Source organism: Homo sapiens, chromosome 3, assembly GCF_000001405.40.
Source record: "Homo sapiens chromosome 3, GRCh38.p14 Primary Assembly".
NCBI lineage: Eukaryota > Metazoa > Chordata > Mammalia > Primates > Hominidae > Homo > Homo sapiens.
In genome coordinates, this window is record NC_000003.12 from 51683890 (window position 1) to 51702086 (window position 18197).

The 18197-nt window shown below is 55.1% G+C and overlaps 1 protein-coding gene and 1 pseudogene across 17 annotated transcripts in view, besides 4 other annotated features; one reads left to right on the forward strand and one right to left on the reverse strand.

The window, feature by feature from the left end:
- Window positions 1–18197, forward strand: part of TEX264 (testis expressed 264, ER-phagy receptor) — a 33072-nt gene that overhangs the window by 12638 nt on the left and 2237 nt on the right. For 14 of the 17 annotated variants that reach the window (NR_024012.3, NR_103462.1, NR_103463.1 and 11 more), the window contains 2 exons: window positions 524–745; window positions 15517–15685. Coding sequence is in view for 14 of the 17 variants with exons in the window: in XM_047448276.1 (XP_047304232.1) it covers window positions 524–745; window positions 15517–15685 (391 nt within the window). In the remaining 3 variants the exon portion in view is untranslated. Of the gene's footprint in view, window positions 1–523; window positions 746–925; window positions 5590–15516; window positions 15686–18197 lie in introns of those variants that run through there. The other 3 variants (XM_047448278.1, NM_001243727.3, XM_017006574.3) reach the window with 2 other exon arrangements.
- Window positions 2659–2708: a silencer, noted in NCBI's record as "silent region_14417". NCBI's record gives its function as "represses an Ori minimal core promoter by ATAC-STARR-seq in GM12878 lymphoblastoid cells {active_cell/tissue: GM12878}" and the evidence as "EXISTENCE:reporter gene assay evidence [ECO:0000049][PMID:35858748]".
- Window positions 3102–3717: an enhancer, noted in NCBI's record as "H3K4me1 hESC enhancer chr3:51721007-51721622 (GRCh37/hg19 assembly coordinates)". NCBI's record gives its function as "activates a minimal SCP1, AML or CMV promoter by ChIP-STARR-seq in naive H9 embryonic stem cells {active_cell/tissue: H9 hESC(naive)}" and the evidence as "EXISTENCE:reporter gene assay evidence [ECO:0000049][PMID:30033119]".
- Window positions 6950–7773: an enhancer, noted in NCBI's record as "H3K4me1 hESC enhancer chr3:51724855-51725678 (GRCh37/hg19 assembly coordinates)". NCBI's record gives its function as "activates a minimal SCP1, AML or CMV promoter by ChIP-STARR-seq in primed H9 embryonic stem cells {active_cell/tissue: H9 hESC(primed)}" and the evidence as "EXISTENCE:reporter gene assay evidence [ECO:0000049][PMID:30033119]".
- Window positions 7774–8596: an enhancer, noted in NCBI's record as "H3K4me1 hESC enhancer chr3:51725679-51726501 (GRCh37/hg19 assembly coordinates)". NCBI's record gives its function as "activates a minimal SCP1, AML or CMV promoter by ChIP-STARR-seq in naive H9 embryonic stem cells {active_cell/tissue: H9 hESC(naive)}" and the evidence as "EXISTENCE:reporter gene assay evidence [ECO:0000049][PMID:30033119]".
- Window positions 10576–10693, reverse strand: RNA5SP132 (RNA, 5S ribosomal pseudogene 132; annotated as a pseudogene).

An 18197-nucleotide genomic window follows, 5' to 3' on the forward strand; every position in this document is an offset into this window, starting at 1 on the left:
CCATAATTTCTCTGCCTGTAAAGCCTGCTCTTCTCCAGGAGATAGGAGGGAAATTAGCTAATAGGATTTTGCTGGACCCAGGCTGCAGGATCAGCCACTGTACAGTTCTGCTGGTGGCCCTGGGGCGTGGGGGCTGACAGAGGGTCTTATGGTGGGGTGGAAGGGCCCCCTCAGTGGAGCCATGTGGAGGGTGATGGTTCAGAGGTCCTCTCCGCCCTTCCCTCTCCTGGCCTCCAGAAGGGCAGAGACCAAGTCTAACCCCTCACTATGATCCCTGGGTTTCCACAGGGCATGGCATGTTTGTTGAAGGAATAGATGAGAGTCCTGTGGTACGATGCCACAGGCAGGGGCCATAGGTGGGTTCCAGTAAGAAAATAGCTAGCTGTGTCCTGGTATCTGGGGCTGCATGGCTTGTCAGAGCTGCTGGTTCTTTTAGGCCTGATCTGGCACAGTCCCAGGAGGAAGGAGGTCTGAGGGCCTCCTTCCTTTGGCCAACTCTCACACCCATGCTTTGCTTCCCCAGGTGCCCCCTGATAAGTGCCGATGTGCCGTGGGCAGCATCCTGAGTGAAGGTGAGGAATCGCCCTCCCCTGAGCTCATCGACCTCTACCAGAAATTTGGCTTCAAGGTGTTCTCCTTCCCGGCACCCAGCCATGTGGTGACAGCCACCTTCCCCTACACCACCATTCTGTCCATCTGGCTGGCTACCCGCCGTGTCCATCCTGCCTTGGACACCTACATCAAGGTGAGGCACAGGCCTGGGGTGTGTGTGTTGGGGACAGCCAGGCCCCTTGGGTGGAGCTGAGGAGGACTGCCTAGAATGGGAGGAAGAAGTGGTTTTGGGAGAGCAGCACCCTGGGGCCCTCATGGAACAGGTACCTGTGGAGCTAGGAAGATGGGCAGAGGTTGTTGGCATCTCTTTCAGATGCCCAAGATCTTTTGGAAGCCGGAGCATATCCCAAGAGCATGGAGAACTTGTTCATAAATCTGATCTGGTTAGTTTGGCTCTGGCTTTGACCAAAGACATCCATAGTGCTTATCCCACACTCCTGGCTCAGATGAATGGACAGGCCACTTTATTCTCATCCTGCTGGAGGCCTGCAAAGCAAGGACCTGAGGCTCCCAGTGTCTGGGCAGGCCCCAGGTAATCATGTATTGCCCGTGGCCCTGCCTGTGCATGGGCTTATACATCTGCTCCCAGAGGCCAGGGCTGGGACAGCAGTGGCAGGCTCTGTTTCCTTTACTTCCTGACTTGGTTACTGGCAATGCTGGCAGCCCAACCTTCCTGGAGGAAGGAGAGCCAGTCACCTGGTCATCTGACGGGTTTCTGTGTCTACAGAAATTTTTTTAAAACTTGCCCTGTTACACATCCCTCCTCCCCTAAACGTTTTGTAAACTTGGTTGCTAGGGAAATGACCCCAGTTTGGGCTTGGACGTGATTGTTCATTCATTTAACTTGTATTTATAGTCTGTGTGCCAGGTGCTATAATGGGCACAATGTGAATGAAACGTTGGTGCATGAAACAGCCATTCACAGTGAGGTGGTGAAGATAGGTAATAAATATCAGACAAAAATAGGACGTGTGCTAGAGAAGGAGAGGGTGAGAAAAGTCAGGGAACCAACTTGGACAGAATGGTCAGGGACAGCCTCTCAGAGGAGATAACCTCAAGGCAGAGTCCTAGAAGAGCCTTTAGAGAGGAGATAAGAACTTCTAGTCAGAGCTTTGGTCTAAATGCAGCAGGAAGTCACTGCAGTGTTCCAACCAGGAAAATAACACAGTTGGAGCCACGTCTGTACAAGATGAGCTGTCCCATCTCTGGGCAGGGTGGGACTGGACCACAGATCTGGGACCAGGTGGAGATGCTTAGGCCTGGGGCTAAGGAATTAGCCTAGGAGGCTGTCATGAATCCCATTGTGAGTGGTGGCAGCTTGGGCAGGCCCAGCGGCTATAGAGCTGTGGACAAGGATGGAGATTTACAATCACTTTTGGGATAGAACTGATAGACTTTGGGTGGATTCACTGTTGTGGAAGGAGAGGCAGTGAGGGAGTCACAGAGGGCTCTGCTCCCCTCTGGCCTGGGCAGGTGGGCAAGTATGTAGTGATGCTTTCACTGACATGTGGGGAACTGAGGGAGGCCCTGGTTTTGGGGGGAAGGTAGCTATTTGGGCTATGTCAGGGGAGCTGCCTGAGATACATCTAAGTTGGGGGGTGTGGAGTCAGCAATGGTATGTGTGGCCTGGAGTTGAGGAAAGGCTGGGCTGGTGGATATATTTGGGGACATCAGCCTGTTGGCAGTATTTGACCTGGGAGGCTGCCCTGTGCCTCCCTGCCTCTGTGGGACCAGGTAGGCAGTGGACAGCCTGTGGCAGCAAAGGCTGCGCAGAGGGCGTGGCCAGTGTGGCAGGGGTCAGGGAACAGGACGAGAGTCAGTGGGAGTGAGAGCCTGGTACACTTGGAGGATCCTTGCAACTTTGTTCACCAAAGCAGCTTGGGGAAAGGGACACAGCGTTGATGATGGAAATGGGAGTTCAGATGTCCCTGGAGTCTGGTGTTGGGGCTGAGGAATGAATAAATGAGGCCCTGGGTCACCAGCTGTGTCCTTGGCGGTCAAAGACAGGTTTGAAGAATCAGGAGTGAGAAGACCTGGAAAGGGGAGGGCTGTCACGGTGATAAGGCAAGGGCACAGGGAGAATAGAGGGGAGTTTCCTTTGTGAGCTGGAGGGTGGTGGCCAAAAGGGGTGTGGGGCAGGATGTGCTTGCCTGGCTGCGGTTGGACTGGAGGTGGGGGCGGGCTGGCTGGTGGTGTGGGCAGGAAGGAAGATACCAGTGCCCTAGGCCTGCTTAGTGTGCTGCCTCTGGGGAGTCCCGCCCCATTTCATTCAAGGAAGGCCTCTCCAGTCCTGTCGGTGCCATCCTCAACCTCATGGGCCCATCTGGAGGGGCACCCCTGGGAAAGAGACTTCTTGGGTTCCAGACCTCAGAACAGGACATGTGGCATGTGGTGTGGTGGTGAGCAACTCAGCCACCAAAGCCTTTTCCTGGCTTCAGGGGTTTATTTTTAGACACCTTTGTCCAAATTTCCCGGCCCCTGACAGCTTCACAAGTTGCCTGGTTTTGACGTCACCTCTTTGATGAAAGCCCTTCCTCCTTCCTCCCCGCTCCCATGGGAGCCTGTCAGCTGTGCTCCTGGAGTGGGGGTTGAGACAAGGAAGCCAGTGATATGGGGGAGAGCAAGGGGCTTCTCCCAGAGACAGGTGTGAGGCATGCTTGTGTGGGCTTGGCCATCAGCGGGGAGAGTAAGATAGAGGCCGGCTGCCCACAGAAGAGGCATGGCCGAAGGTCCTGGGCTTGTTTTGGCAGCAGGGTGTGGGGGTTGCCTCTGCCCCTGTGTTTAGCCTGACCTTGCGTCTTGGGGAACAAAGCCAGGGGAGAGATGAGGAAGGGGCTAGCTCTGTTTGCTGGTCACAGCCTGCAGTGGACAGGGGTGGCCCTGTGCCTCTCTCAGCCCAGGAGACAGCAAGGAGAGAGTATAAGGCTCCCTTCCATCCCTGCCTTCATCTCCCCTGCCCTGAGGTCAGAGAAAGGAGATTACTAATGAGACTAGTTGCGTCTCACTCTTCTAGCACCGACAGCTTTTAACTGTGTGTGCGTGCGCGTGTGTACACCCTTCTTTTTCTCTCTGGATCTGGGACTGCTGTGAAGGCTCTTCAAATGGAATGACAGCAGCCGTCAGCTTTCTGCTTTGGCAGGGGTGAGAGAGGCCAGGAGCCCTGCTGCCAGGAGTTGCGGGGGGAGGACTTGGCAGGCTCACCAGCCTCTCCAGAGGCTAGGTGAGGGGCAGGGGTGAATGGATCTTAGCTTCGGGTTTGGGAGGTGGAGAGCAGCTGCTGTCCCGGGAGTTGCAGATGTGCCTGAGCCTGGAACAGGATTGGTCTCATGGGACAGAGGGACCTGAAGTTCACGGCGAGAGGCCCAAGGAGAAGCACTTGTCAGGACTCTCGGGATTCTGGAAGGGATGGCTGATCTCAGCTTTCCTGGTTTGCATGGCAGCCTCTGGCTCTCTGGCTAGCCTTCCCCAGCTTGGCAGCCTGGCAAACTGCTATAGATGCTGGAACTCTGCCTTTCTCCATATAAACTGCTAAGGGCCCCCAGGCTGAACACTCATTCCCCTGGAATCCATGCGTACTGTGTGACCATCACTCCATATGGAAGATGCCTCAGCTTTGTCAGGCTGCTCCGCTGGAGTCCAAGGAGGTGGCCTCTAGTACAGGAGGAGACCACTCCCCAAGTCCCAGGAAAGGGGTATCTTCTGGAAGCTGCAGGATGGAACAGAGCTTGCTTGAAATTGCAAACCTGCAGAGGGGAGATGGGGCCCAGATGTGAGCCCAGAGCAATGGGCAGAGGCCCCCAAATTCACCAGTCTTAATGAGTGTCCAGGGAAGGCTTCGGACACATGGAACAGACCAGGACTGAGGGATGGGCCTGGGAATTCGATGTGTGGGATTGTGTGTGTAAGGTCTCTAGTGCAGTTTGCTCATATCTGTCTGTAGCACTTGGTGAGGAAGGCCATTGAGAGTGTTTGACACACAGCCAAGCCCCCATGCCTGATTTCTCTCCCAGACCCGTCCAGAATCTTTTTCAAAAGTGCCCTTCCCCATGGTCTCTGATTTCAGGGAGTTTTTAGGGGGAGGGTCTTTGTAAAATGGTTTGAGCCTCCTCTCCCAAGTTTAGGGTGTTACAGGGCATTGTTCATGTAGTGGCTGATTGGCTGGGGAGTGCAGGTGGCCCTGGAGGTCAGACTAATGTCTGACTATCCACCATCAAATTGGAGAAAAGCGTGTAAGTAAGGAGGGGTCACCGAATATAGTGAGCCTGTGAGGGGAACCTTGGTGGCCGAATTCTGGGACAGCTGGGTTGACTGGGACTGTCTTACCAGGGGCTTAAAGGGGATAAGGCCAGGTGTGGTGGCTCATGCCTGTAATCCCAACACTTTGGGAGCCTGAGGTGGGAGGATCACTTGAGCCCAGGAGTTCCAGACCAGCCTGGGCAACATAAGTGAGATCCTGCCTCTAAAAAAAACAGAAAAAAAATTAGCCAGGCATTTGTAGTCCCAGCTACTCAGGAGGCTGAGGTGGGAGGATCGCTTGAGCCTGGGAGGTCAAGGCTGCAGTGAGCCATGATTGTGCCACTGCAGTCTATCCTGGGTGACAGAGTGAGACTCTGTCTCAAAAATAAATAAATAGATAAATGAAGGGGGCATGGTGGCTCACACCTGTAATCCCAGCACTTTGGGAGGCTGAGGCAGGTAGATTACTCCAGCTCAGGAGTTTGAGACCAGCCTGGACAACATGGTGAAACCTCGTCTCTACAGAAAAAAAATACAAAAAAATTAGCTGGGCGTGGTGGCGTGCACCTGTGGTCTCAGCTACTCGGGAGGCTGAGACAGGAGAATTGCTTGAGCTCAGGAGACAGAGGTTGCAGTGAGCCAAGATCACGCCATTGCACATTAGCTTGGGTAACAGGAGTGAAACCCATCTCAAAAAAATAAAAGTAAAAACATTAAAAAAAAAAAAAAAGGGAAGGAAGGAAGTAAAGTAAGAAAGTAAGGCAAGGACCCCAGACCATAGTTCTCAGACTGCCCTGGCTGTGCTGAGGTGCCCTGTGGCTATCAGCCTGTGGTGGGAGCTGTACTCAGACCCTTTCCTGCTTCACCTGGAGTAGTTCTGCCTGTGAGTTTTACAACCCAGGTGTCTTGAGCTTTTGTTTGGAAGGGAGCTTCTAAGGCTCAGCTGGTTTGAAAACCTCTGTCCTAAGAGAGGGGCAAAACTGGGCAGATGCCACCTCCAGTCCCGCCCACTACATGTCTGTTCTCGATCCTGAGGATGCTGTAACTGCAGTATGAGTGGAGCTGGGAGGCACCAGGGCCCAGCCCTTGTGCAGGTAGGGCAGGAGCTCCAAAGAGAGGCACTTGTCTTGAGGGGAGTGTGACTGATTGGAAGCTGGACCTGGAGGGACCCTGGGGAGCTGCAGGTTGGAGTTCTCCTGGGGTGGTGGTGACTGAACTCCTGAGTGGTGGGTGATAGCATTATGGGGCAGCCAGCTTGGAACTAAGGCCTGTGGGCCCCAGCAGATTGCCTGTGGAAATGGGTCAGCCTGTTGAGCAGTGGCTGTGAGGAAGCTCGAAACAGCCTGGCCACAGCCTGTGTTCTGTCCAGTGGGCACAGAACCGCTTGTGTTTGCTTCCCTTTAGTCTGCCTCAGTGACCCTGAGGGAGTCAGTCGGTGGGTCTGAGTCCACACTGGGGCCAAAACACCAGTGCAGAGCAACAAGGCCTCGGCCGGGGAAATACAGGTGAGGACGCCACGTGTGGTGGCTCACGCCTGTAATCCCCACACTTTAGGAGGCTGAGGTGGGTGGATCACCTAAAGTCAGGAGTTTGAGACCAGCCTGGCCAACACAGTGAAACCCCATCTTTACTAAAAGTACAAAAATCAGCTGGGCTTGGTGGCACACACCTCTAATCTCAGCTACTCAGGAGGCTGAGGCACGAGAATTGCTTGAACTCGGGAGGCAGAGGTTGCAGTGAGCTGAGATCACGACACTGCCCAGTGAGCTGAGATCACGACACTGATCTCCAGCCTGGGTGACAGAGCAAGACTCCGTCTCAAAAAAAAAAAAAAAAAAAGCAGGTGAGGGAGCCCCAGCAGGAATGTGAAATCTGTGGTCATTTCCCTCTTCCTGCCTGTCACCTTTGCCAAGCTAACATGGGAAGCTTCCAAACTTTATTTTTAACAAGGGAGGCCCTCTTGGCATCTCAGCTCAGTCACTTATTCAGCAGTTATTTACTGAGGTCTCTTGTGTGTGTCATTGTTCTGCGCATGGAGGAACCAGCTAGGAGGCGTCATAGAGTCCTAATCAAAGCCAGCATCCCCATTGTTTTACAGATGGGGAGGCTGAGGCCTAGGGAAGGAAGGTGCCCCAAGGTCAAGGGATGGAGCGGTAGCTGAGTCCAGACTGGGTCCCTTAGGCCGAGGATCGTTCCGATGGCTATATGCCTTTTGCCACTCCATCCTGTACATAAGTGGGGCTGGAACCAAGAGGCTGAGAACTTGTCATCAATTTGGGATATGCTCGGGATGGTGCCCCAGGGTGGGCTTTCTTTCCTTCTTTCTCCAACCCTGGTAGTCACAGTTGGAGGCTGAGGCTTCAGGTCTAGGAGACTGCTGGGGGAGCCGAGGCAAAGCACAGGAAGAGGCTGTGTACCCGCTTGCCCAGCAGGCACTCATTAAGGCAGGCCTTGGGAACTGCTCTGGGCACAGGAAGCAGCTGCTGCAGGCACCTTATCGGGCCTCTTGTCCACACCCTCAGTGAGGCAGAGGCGGTTCTATTCCCAGGCTTCCCTCCCTGGATCTCAAGGGCTGGCTTACCTGCTGGTACTGCCACCTGCTAAGTGGCCTGCTCTGGCACAGGGAGGAGGGCACTTTTGGCAGCATCAGGACCTGGAGCTGAGTGACAATCCTCCAGCACTCTTTCCTCTTCCACCTCCTCCAGCCACAGAGCCTAGCCATGCCTGGGTGTGGGGAGGGGAGGGATAGATTCGCTGGGAAAGGCAAAACAACCCTTGTGCGGTGGTGGCATTTGGGCTGCACCTATAAGGTAGGCAGTGTTCCCCAGGTGGGAAGGCAGGTCAGGCAGAGATACTGGCTTGGTGGCAGTCATGGCTTGTGTATCCAGTGAGGCTGGAGTACAGGAGAGGAGCAAGAGTTTGGGCCTAAGAGATATAGGCTGGGTCCTGCAGGCACTAGGGAGACACTGATGGCGTCTGAGCAGATGAGTGACAGTATCCAGGCTGGGCTTCAGATCAAGTCTCTTCAGTACCTAGGAGATGGGGAGGAAGAGCCAGAGGCCACAGTCAAATTCTGCACAAAGATAATGCAAGTTAGCTGAAAGTAGCAGTGACTTTTCATTCCCAGATGTCCCCAAGCCAAGAGGCGATCCTCCCACCATACCACGGCTTGGCTTCCCCGGCTCCCCTTAGGGAGCTACCCTTGGGTATTGAGGTGTTGGGAGCCAGGCCTCTCCCCTTTGTTGGCCTAGGCACTGGAACCTGCTCCTTAGCCTCTCTGGCTTTACCCCACCTCCCTCCCTTCCCCCAGGAATGAAAGCACAAAGCCAGCCTTTGCTAGGGCGGCGTGGGAGCCACCACTCTCAAAATACCAGCTCGGATATTGTAGCTTGGCAGCCCTGCAGGACCCTGGGGGCTGAAGCTTGTCTGGATGGTGCTGTGGGGTTGGGCTGTCACCAGTCCAGAGGGAGCCTTCTTCCCCAGGCAGATGGAATTTACTTATCAAAGAAGAATTCTGTTGCTCTTCTCCAGGAAGCTTGAGATTGGAATTAGGGAGGGGAAAGAGATTCCAAGGAGAGAATTTGCAGTGCACCCCCTCTCCCCCAAGCAGAACAACTTCTTCTTCAGCTGAGCCCTCAGATTAGGAGAGGCTAGCTGTCTAGTTATGCAGGTGGGAAGGAAAGGACTTCACTGAGGAGTGGAGCAGAGGTCAGAGGTACCAGTTGGAGATGAGAAATTCAGGGCCTTCTCCTTCTCTCCCTCTCTTCTGTCCCCTGTCTCCTCTCCATTCCCACTTGCCCACTTGTCCTTCCCCTCTGGCAATTCCTGACTCCTCTGGCTCTCAGGTGCTTGGCTTCCCAGCTCCATCTGTACGAGCAGCCTTCCTGCTGCTGGATAATCATCAGCAACCAGTTTGTCAGCTTGTGAGCAGGACAGGGCTCAAGGTCCTTGACTACACAGACAAGCTGCTAAGAATGCTGGATCTTGGAGAGGGGGTGGGCTGTGGAGCCTGCGATGGTAGAGCCATCATCTGGAAGGCTGTGGCTCTCCTCCCAGATTTGCAAGGGAGAGCAATGGGATCAGGGCTGACTCACCCAGTGCTCTAGCTGAGCTCTCCTTGGGGTACTCACTCCTGTACTCCCCAACCCTCTGGTCTGGCCACACAACGGCCCAGGCCCAAGAAGGCCAGAGCAGGGCTGAACCAGGGTTGTATCTTGGCCCTCTGGGCCTAGAGAAAGGTAAGGCTGGGTATGGATGCAGGATTAGGGGCCTCCCAGTCCATCTGGGCACTAAGGTGCTTAAGAGCCTGTGTCCCATGTGCCTGCTTAGAGGGAAACATTGTTTCCCCACCCCTCAATACCCCAGGCTGCCCTGTGCTTGACTGCTGCCTAGGCCCTCCTCCACAGGACACCGAGGAAGCCAGGGCCTGCGTCGTGCCAGGGAGATGAATAGAGGTGTAAATTGTGTGGTGAGCTGCCGGCTCTGAGGTGAAAATGAAAAGTCTTCAGGCAGTGGCGGCAGCAGGCGCAGCAGGCTGGGGTGCCAGGCACAGCACACCGTCTCCCGCCCCATTCTCTCTCACACCTTCCCACTCCTGCAGTCTTCCCCAGGTTCCCACCCAGGCCTGGACCTGCCTCCCTGGCTCCTCTGCCATTCCCTGCCTTTCAGCCGGTGGCTCCCAGGCTGGCCCTGGGCTCGACCTAACCCCAAGAGGGCCATTATATCTCGTTTCCATTATGTTTTTTTTTTTTTTTTTTTTTGAGACAGAGTCTCATTCTGTCACACAGGCTGGAGTGCGGTGGCACGATCGCGGCTCACTGCAACCTCTGCCTCCCGGATTCAAGCAATTCTTCTGCCTCAGCCTCCCAAGTAGCTGGGACTACAAGCATCCGACACCACGCCCAGCTAATTTTTGTATTTTTAGTAGAGATGGGGTTTCACCATGTCAGCCAGGCTGGTCTCGAACTCCTGACCCCAGGTGATCTGCCCACCTTGGCCTCCCAAAGTGCTGGGATGACAGGCGTGAGCCACCACTCCCGGCCTCCATTATGTTTTCTACTTGGCTGATCTGTTGCACAGAAAAATGGGCTGTGCTTGAGTTACCTTTGTGACTTAATGTTTGTGGTAGTCCCTCCATTGATTCTTTTTGGGTTTTCTGAGTATAGTTTTCTTACCGTCACATAATGGTGTTTTTATTCATCCTTTCCAGTTCCTCACTTCTTTTGAGATCATCTATTCTAATCCCTTTCTTTCCTTCCTTCCTTCCTTCCTTCCTTCCTTCCTTCCTTCCTTCCTTCCTTCCTTCCTTCCTCCCTTCCCTTCCCTTCCCTTCCCCTTCCTTCCGTCCGTCCTTCCTTCCTTCCTTCCTTCCTTCCTTCCTTCCTTCCTTCCTTCCTTCCTTCCTTCTTTCCTTCTTTCTTGTTTTGCTCTGTTGCCCGGGCTGGAGTGCAGTGGCGCGATCTCGGCTCACTGCACCTCCATCTCCCGCATTCAAGCAATTCTCCTGCCTCAGCCTCCCGGGTAGCTGGGATTACATGCACCTGTCACCACACCTGGTTAATTTTTGTATTTGTAGTAGAGACAGGGTTTCACTATGTTGGCCAGGCTGGTCTGAAACTTGTGACCTCAAGTAATCCACCCGCCTTGACCTCCCAAAGTGCTAGGATTGCAGGCATGAGCCACCGCGCCTGGCCAAAGAGGGAAAGAGGGAGGGAACGATAGGCCAAAAGCCTACAGCACCCGGTATTCCAGGCAGTCTCCCATCCAAGTACTAACTAGACCCGACCTTGCTTAGCTTCTGAGATCAGACAAGATCAGGTGCATTCAGGGTGGTATGACTGTAGACCCTTTATTTCATACTTGGGCAAATTGAGGGCCAGAGGGAAGCTACCGATTTGTGTAGCCAAGCCAATGCCCTAGGCTCCTGCCTGGGGTGCTCTCTGCCACTTCCTGCTTCCTCTTTTCCCTCCCTGGCCATCCTGTCTTACTCCCTGTCTCCTTTGCCTGCCATTTTCAGAGCTTTGGGCTCTGCTGGTGTGAGGGGAGAGTAGAGAGAGGGGAAGGTGCTCACCAGCCCTTCTGCAGGCTCTCCCTGCTGCTGTGGCAAGGCCCCAGAGCACCAACAGACAGGTCTGGCTTCTGGGCCAGAAGCTTTGGGGCAGCCTGGTGGGGGTGAGAGGAAAGTTTCCGGGCAGAATAATAACGTGCTACCTTCTAGCTGCAGCCTCTTGCTATACCTCCCCAAAGCATGCACGTGCCATGAAGACCAGCTGCCTGAGGGGCCTCCAGGGTTTGAGTCCCCACTTGCAGGGACTGCTGTGTGCAGGCAGGTGCATGTTGGTGTCTGTAATTAAAAATGAGCATGCATCACTTCACCCAGTGAGGAGACGCCACTACCTCGGGTGGGATGCAACAGCTGCTTGCTGGCTGTGCAGCTGCCTGGGTATCCAGCCTGGCACAGAAGGATAGATAGGACTGGGTAGCTCAGGGTGAACAGTAAGGCAAGGCCCAGGGCCCCTCAGCCAGACCTCATCCCTTGCTGGGCCTAGAGCTTATGTAGGAGATGTGACCCGTCCTTGGCCCACACATTGCCTCCTTCTTTTGGGCATTTGCAGCCACCTAGTTCTAAGCAAACCTCCAGCCTCTGGGTAGCCTGGGAGTGGGACCCATCATCAGCCTTCGTCCTGGGCCTGACCTCTTCTGTCTTCTATTTGCTCCCAATCCCTAGCTGAAGCCAGGGCACAGGGTGATGTCCTGAATACAAAGCACTAAATGAGGATAGTTCAGGTCCAGGTCCTCTCTCTTACCTCTTTTCTTCCTCTCCCATAATTCAGAAAGACCTGCTGGGGAGGCACTGTGGGTCCCGTGGGGGAAAGCTTGGCCTGGTGTATCAGTCTTGCCCTGTTGTGGGAGCCCTGAGCTGAATGGGGTAAATGCCTGCACCCTGCCCAGGAGATGAACTCAGGCTGAAGTGAGGTGGGAGTGTGTGGTGTGTCCCCAAGGTAGCTGACGCAGTGGCACTGTGGCAGCCTGTGTGAGGTGGGTGAGCTGCTCCTTCCCTTTTTTGCCAACACTCCTGAGTGAGTAAGCAGGTGTTGGTGCAGGGTGGGGTGGTGGTGGGGAAGTGCTGGTGTCTGGGGTCTCTTAGAAATTCCTGCATCATGGGTGGTGTCCCAAGTCCCCATCTTGTTTCTGCATGTGGAAGACCCAGGTGGGAGGGAAGGCCCGGAGGTGTGTCTGAGGGACTGGAACTCTGAATCCAGTTTCTGGCAGACCCTGGGGGCACCTTGGCATGGTTCACTGACTTTTGCCTGTTAGGTGGAGAGGAATGTGAACATCTGCAACTCTCCCACCTTGGAAAGAGGCTTTATAGTCTCCTTGGGTCTGTGTGTGGGAGTGAGCTGCTCTGGGCTGTGGGTTTGTTAGATGGCCAGTGGTGTCAGTGGCAGAGCACGTTCTCATGTCCTGGCAATGCTTCCACACACTGCTGGCTGTCTGGGCTGTGGAAGGGGATGTGCCAGGGCTAGGAGGACCCCAGGCCCACCCAGGCTCTTCACCAGTGGGACCAGCCCAGTGTGACCTTGAGCTAGTGTCCTTGGCCACTGGCAGTCTGCTCTCCAAGGGCTCCCTGGGGCTAACTGAGGGAGAGGCAGCTGGCCTCGCCTTCCTCCAATGATTTTCCAATATTTACTGGCTCATTGACATATTGCCCGGGCCATGGCTCCTACTGTGCAGCAAGGACCTGAGAGCCAGCCCATGGTCACCCTGTCTTCCCTCCGAGGTTGCACCTGGCTGGGAGGGAAAGGGCTTGTCCTCTCTGCCTGATCACTCAGGGACAGAGCATATAGCTTGTCCTGCCCCTCACCTTCCATCCCCAGCCCCCACTAGAGTCATTCTTGCTCAGTGGGCAGAGCATGCAAGGGAGAGCAGTCTCCCAGGAAGGGCCAGGGGGCAACTACAAGCCCCTTCTCTGCCTGTGGGCCTGGCTTAGAAGTTTGCTCCTTTGCCTTCTTCCTGTCCCTTCTCTGCCCAAGTCTGAATTTTGGTAGGACCTGGTGCATGTGCTATAATGATTTGGGGCTGAACAGTCAATGGCATTTTAATTAGCTCCATGCCTCCCTCCAGTAGGGAGGACCAGGGCCCCCAGGTAACAGCAGGTAGGACCAGGCTAGTTTTGGGCCTGAGGCTGCCCCTCCAGGGGTCTGGGAGCAGGCTCTGGGACCTGGTGCTCCCTGTGTGAGATGCTGTGAGGAGGGAGAGCTGGGCAGAGAAGGAAGGGCTGTGTCGCAGGGCCACAGTTTTCTCTCCATCCTCTGTCTCCCTTGATCCTCTGTTCTCCCTGATGGCTTTGAGATGAAGGCGACGGCAAGGATGGAGGATGCAGTTTCCATGGCAACGGGGCTGTCCACAGCCAGGCAACTTCAGAGCCGGGCTCTCCGGAGGAAGCAGATGCGCAGAACAGCCGCAGAGCTGCCTCCCGCCTGCCAACGAGGGGGCTGGCAGAACAGGTGGCACAGGGTGGCAGCCTGGTGCTGCCCAGCCTAGGGGAGAGGGTGGAAAGAGCAGTACTCCCTCTTATTATCTTGTTATGGCCAAGTTCCTCCAGAAGGGAAGCTAGGGAGGTGGCTTGAGTGTTGAGAGGGGTTGGGCTAGGGTCCCCATTGTCCCTGGAATCTCTGGGTGGACACAGGCTCTGTCCTCTGGGATCTTCCCCCAAAAGCCAAATGTCTGCTGCTCTTGTGATGGCCACTCAGCTACTACCCTTTGGGTCCTTTGTCCAGAGTGTGAGGATGTTGGTGAAGGCCATGCCCTGACTAGATTCAGGGATCCTTTTCTTTCATCTAGCTACTGGGGAAGGACCTGGACCTTCTTCAGGGGCCTCCCTGCCCCTGGCCTCAGTGACCTGGACCAGTTTGCTGAGTTGGGTTCAGGTTTGGCAGATGCCTGCCTCTAAGTGCTGGCATTGGAGGGGCCCCAGAGCCTGACAGCTCCTGCTTCCTGACACTGTGATCTTGTTTAGCCTCCTCCTGGAGACCAAGGCTGGAGTGGGTATGTGAGTGGGTAGAGAAGCAAAGACAGCCATCTGTGTGTTTAGAAATGGGACGTGTCAGGGGCATGGACTCTTGAGATGGAGGAAGCCCCGAGGGCACCCAGGTTGGCAAAGAAGATTTGACTCCAACTATTAAAAAATAATGACTTTCCTTCACCGACCTTGGAAGCATCAGGGCTAGGGTGTTCTACTTTGCTGTTGAGCACATGGAGACTTAGGATGGAAGGCTTTGCCTGGATCACCCATGGAGTCAGAGGCTGAGCCACAGCCAGACCTGGGACAGGCCATCCACCTCCCGCGTGGCCTCCTAGATGCACCCTCCCTTCAGCTGGCTGCTGAGGGTCCTAGCTAGGTAAACCTTTCAGGCTCACTCCTCTTTCCCTTTATCATCCGTGGGCTTGCTTTTAACCCTTCTTTGCTAGCTTGCTTTAGTTGAAGGAGGTTCCTCAACCCTAGGGTTGGCCAGGCAGGTGGACAAGTGGAGTCTTGGAGTGGCTTCTCCTTGCCAGGCAATAAGTCTCTCATTACTGCTAAGTGGAAGGCTCATTTCAGAGCTCATGGTGAGAGCGGGGCGAATGCTATAAATAGTCGTGTTGTGAAGATTGGCGGGTGAGCAGTGACAGGGCAGGGGCCTTGCAGTCATCATAGTGGGTATTTGTGCTCCTTCGCAGGAAAGGTGGCGGGGCAGGCTCTGAGTAAGAGGCAACTTGACCCCTGTTCTGGCTGTCCCTGCCTGCCTCAGGGTGGCTCTGGCATGTCTGTGCCCCTCCATACTCATTGGGGGATGGGGAGCACTGGATTCTGTGTCTAGGCAGAGGGAGGTGGAGTGCCTTTTGGAACTTGGGGCCCAAAAGGTGGTACATCAGCCCACTGGGTAATGTCCTGTGCTAGATCTACTTGTCCTACCTGACCTTCCAGTCCAGGGTCTCCCTCTTCCCCATCAGCTAAAACCTGAGTTTACATGTGAGGAGGTATGGGAACCATACCTGATAGTCTCAGAGGTTGACATAGCTCTAAACTAGCAGGGGAATGAATGGGAGTGGAAGTGGTGTTTAGCTGGCCTTGATCCTTGTTCAGGGTCTATAGTAGCATGTCTGCAAGAGCAGGGGCTGGAGGCCTAAGGACTGGGGGTGCTGGTCTTCTGATATCTGTGGGTCAGTCAGCGTTGTCCAGGGTGGAGAGGAGGTCAGGGCCAGGGGGTCCTGGGATGGAAAGTCTGGTAGGTGAGACCTTGGCTTAGGCACATGGGGTCCCTATCCTGGGGTGGTCCAGGGGTGCCAAGCTTCATGGCTCTGTGAGACCAGTGCCTTCTGGAACAGCTTTTTGGTCTCAGATGTACACATAGGAGAGCAGTGCCAGGCTCCTGGGTTCTTTTACCACCTGCCCTAGGGTGTCGTCCTGGGTCTTCAGACTATTATTGCACTCTGGACTATGGGGCCCTGCTGTTAGGGTGATCTATGTGTGCCTCCCTCAGCAGGGCTTTGGAACTTGGAAGAGGTTGAGAGGCAGAGCCAGCCCCTGGGACAGAATAGGTAATAGACAGTTCTGGGGGTCACCCAGGGACAAGTGAGTCAGGGGCCCTGTAGGGCTCATTCTACCTTTTGCCACTCTCTGACTAGGAGCGGAAGCTGTGTGCCTATCCTCGGCTGGAGATCTACCAGGAAGACCAGATCCATTTCATGTGCCCACTGGCACGGCAGGGAGACTTCTATGTGCCTGAGATGAAGGAGACAGAGTGGAAATGGCGGGGGCTTGTGGAGGCCATTGACACCCAGGTGGATGGCACAGGTACAGAAGGTGGGGTATGAGGATGGGGCCCTCCTGGAGCTCCTCTCTTCTGGACTCCAGGGGCTTGGTTGAGGAGGCTCCTCCCTCTCTGGGTTGGCACTGTGGGTGTCAGGCTATGCTTGGCAGAGGGAGGAAGGAGACCCACCTACCTGAGGACCCACATGTGGAGTTGCCTGTTCCCAGACACATGGATCTACATAGATGTGGATTCACACACATTACCTCCTGGCAACACAGATACAAAGACCCTGCCTGGATTCCCTCCAGATGCAGCAGGAGTACCCTTGGAAACAAAGATCACAGACAGCTCGATGTTCATGGGAGGGGGCTGAGGCTGCTCAGGAAAGGAGTCCCTTGGGTGGGGCTCAGCAGGAAGTAAGATTGGCATAGATCTGGAAGGTAAGGAGGGGAGCAAAGTGTTCTCTTGTCCCTCAGTACGGGCCCCACCCAGAGCCAGCTGCTTTCTCCCTGCCAGGGAACAACCAGGGAGCATGCAGAGGGGAGCCAGGAGATCAGTCACCTGTGCCTTTCTCCAGGGCCAGCCCACACTCCTGCTGGCAGCCTCAAGGCCCCAGGTCCAGGCTGGAAGGCTGCTTGCCTGCCCACCCCTCTGCAATGATCTGTGACCCCGGGCTGTCTCAGGCACAAGGGGGTCTGCTGGGTTACATCCCAGATGGTCCCAGGGGGCCTTATCCTTGGCCAACCTGGTGGAGTTTGTGACTTCTAGGAGTGGTACAGGGCTGTGGGGAGAGGAACTGTCCCTCCTCTCCTCCTTCTTTAGCAGATGCTCTGCCCATCCAGTCTTCAACAGCCAAGGTCACCCTAGGGAGACGTGTCAGCTAGGGCTGGGTAGGAGGGTATTGGGAGCAGTCTCTACTCCCTAGGGGCCTGTGTCCAACACAGTTAACTTCATCTGCCACTTAATTACCTCCATGGGGTACAGCTCCCTTCTGCCTGGTAGTGCCCGGCAGACACTCTTCAGTGCCCCTACTGTGGGCACAGGACATGGCACAAGGTCAGCAGGCCCAGGCAGCCTCCAGGGCAGGAAGACAGAGTGCCTTCACTTTACTGTGACCTCCCTCTGCTGCCTGCCTCCCCCTCCTTGACCCACCCACCCAGCTTCCTTCCCTCCCAAACACTGCCTGTCAGGGTCATTGAAGGACTGCTTGGCACCCACTACAGCTGGCTGTAGTGGCAGCTCCCACATTCCCCAGCTCCTCAGCCTGTTTTCCTCCCCTCCAGCCCGCCCACCCACTCCCTGGTGTTGGGGCCAAGGGGTCTGCCCACCTCTCACAGGGCCTGTCCTGACACCCCAGCGGGACTCGGTGTTTGCCCACCAGGTGCATGCCACTGACACAGCAGTTGGTGGTGGGTGCATGCAGGATGTCTGACTGCCCAAGGCTTGGCCTGTCCCTGCCCGCCTCCCTGCTGTGGCCCTAGCTTAGGCCGGGAGGTGAAAGGGGGTGATTAGCTGCCTTGTGCCTGTTATTACATTGATGTATTATTTAGCTTCAGAGAGGCGATGAATATTTGATCGTCTTGCACTGGCTGTGGGCAGAGCGAGAGGGAGGGATTTGGGTGAAGGGGGTGGGCTTCAAGTCCCCTGCCCCAGTAGTCGTGGGGATTTAGGTAGGGCCCTGCCTTGCCTGGTATCTTCTGCCCAGGGATGCAGGCATGGGACTCTGGGACCTCCTCCTGTGTAGATCTTGGTGGGGGTATAGGGATGCTACTTCCCCGTATTGCATTCCTTTTTTTTTTTTCTTCTGCGGCAAGGTCTGGCTCTATCGCCCAGGCTGGAGTGGTGCAGTGGCAAGATCTCGGCTCACTGTAACCTTTCCCTCCCAGGCTTAAGCTGTCCTCCCACCTCAGCCTCCTGAGTAGCTGTGACAAGAGGCGTGTACCACCATGCTTGGCTAGTTTTTGTATTTTTTATAGAGATGGTGTTTCGCCATATTGCCCAGGCTGGCCTTGAACTTGTTAGCTCAAGTGATCCTGCCTCAGCCTCCCAAAGTGTTGGGATTCTAGGGATGAGCCACCATGCCCAGCTGGATTCCTTTTTTTTGTTTGTTTGTTTTTAAAGACAGTTTTCCTTTTTTGCCCAGGCTGGAGTGAAATGGCATGATCTTGGCTCACTGCAACCTCCACCTCGTGGGTTCAAGCGATTCTCCTGCCTCAGCTTCCTGAGTAGCTGGGATTACAGGTGCCTGCCACCATGCCCGGCTAATTTTTGTATTTTTAGTAGAGATGGGGTTTTGCCATGTTGGCCAGGCTGGTCTGGAACTCCTGACCTCATGTGATCCACCTGCCTCAGCTTCCCAAAGTGCTGGGATTACAGGCGTGAGCCACCGTGCCTGGCCTCCAGCTGAATTCCTTTGCTTGAAGTGTATATATGTCTCCAGGGGCTGTCTTCATTTCAGCAGGCTGTCCTGGCCTGAAGGAGGCACCCCTAGGCTCCTTCCTCTGAACATTCCTAGCCTAGGAGCTGGGTGGTAGGAGGTAGCATGCTGGGAAG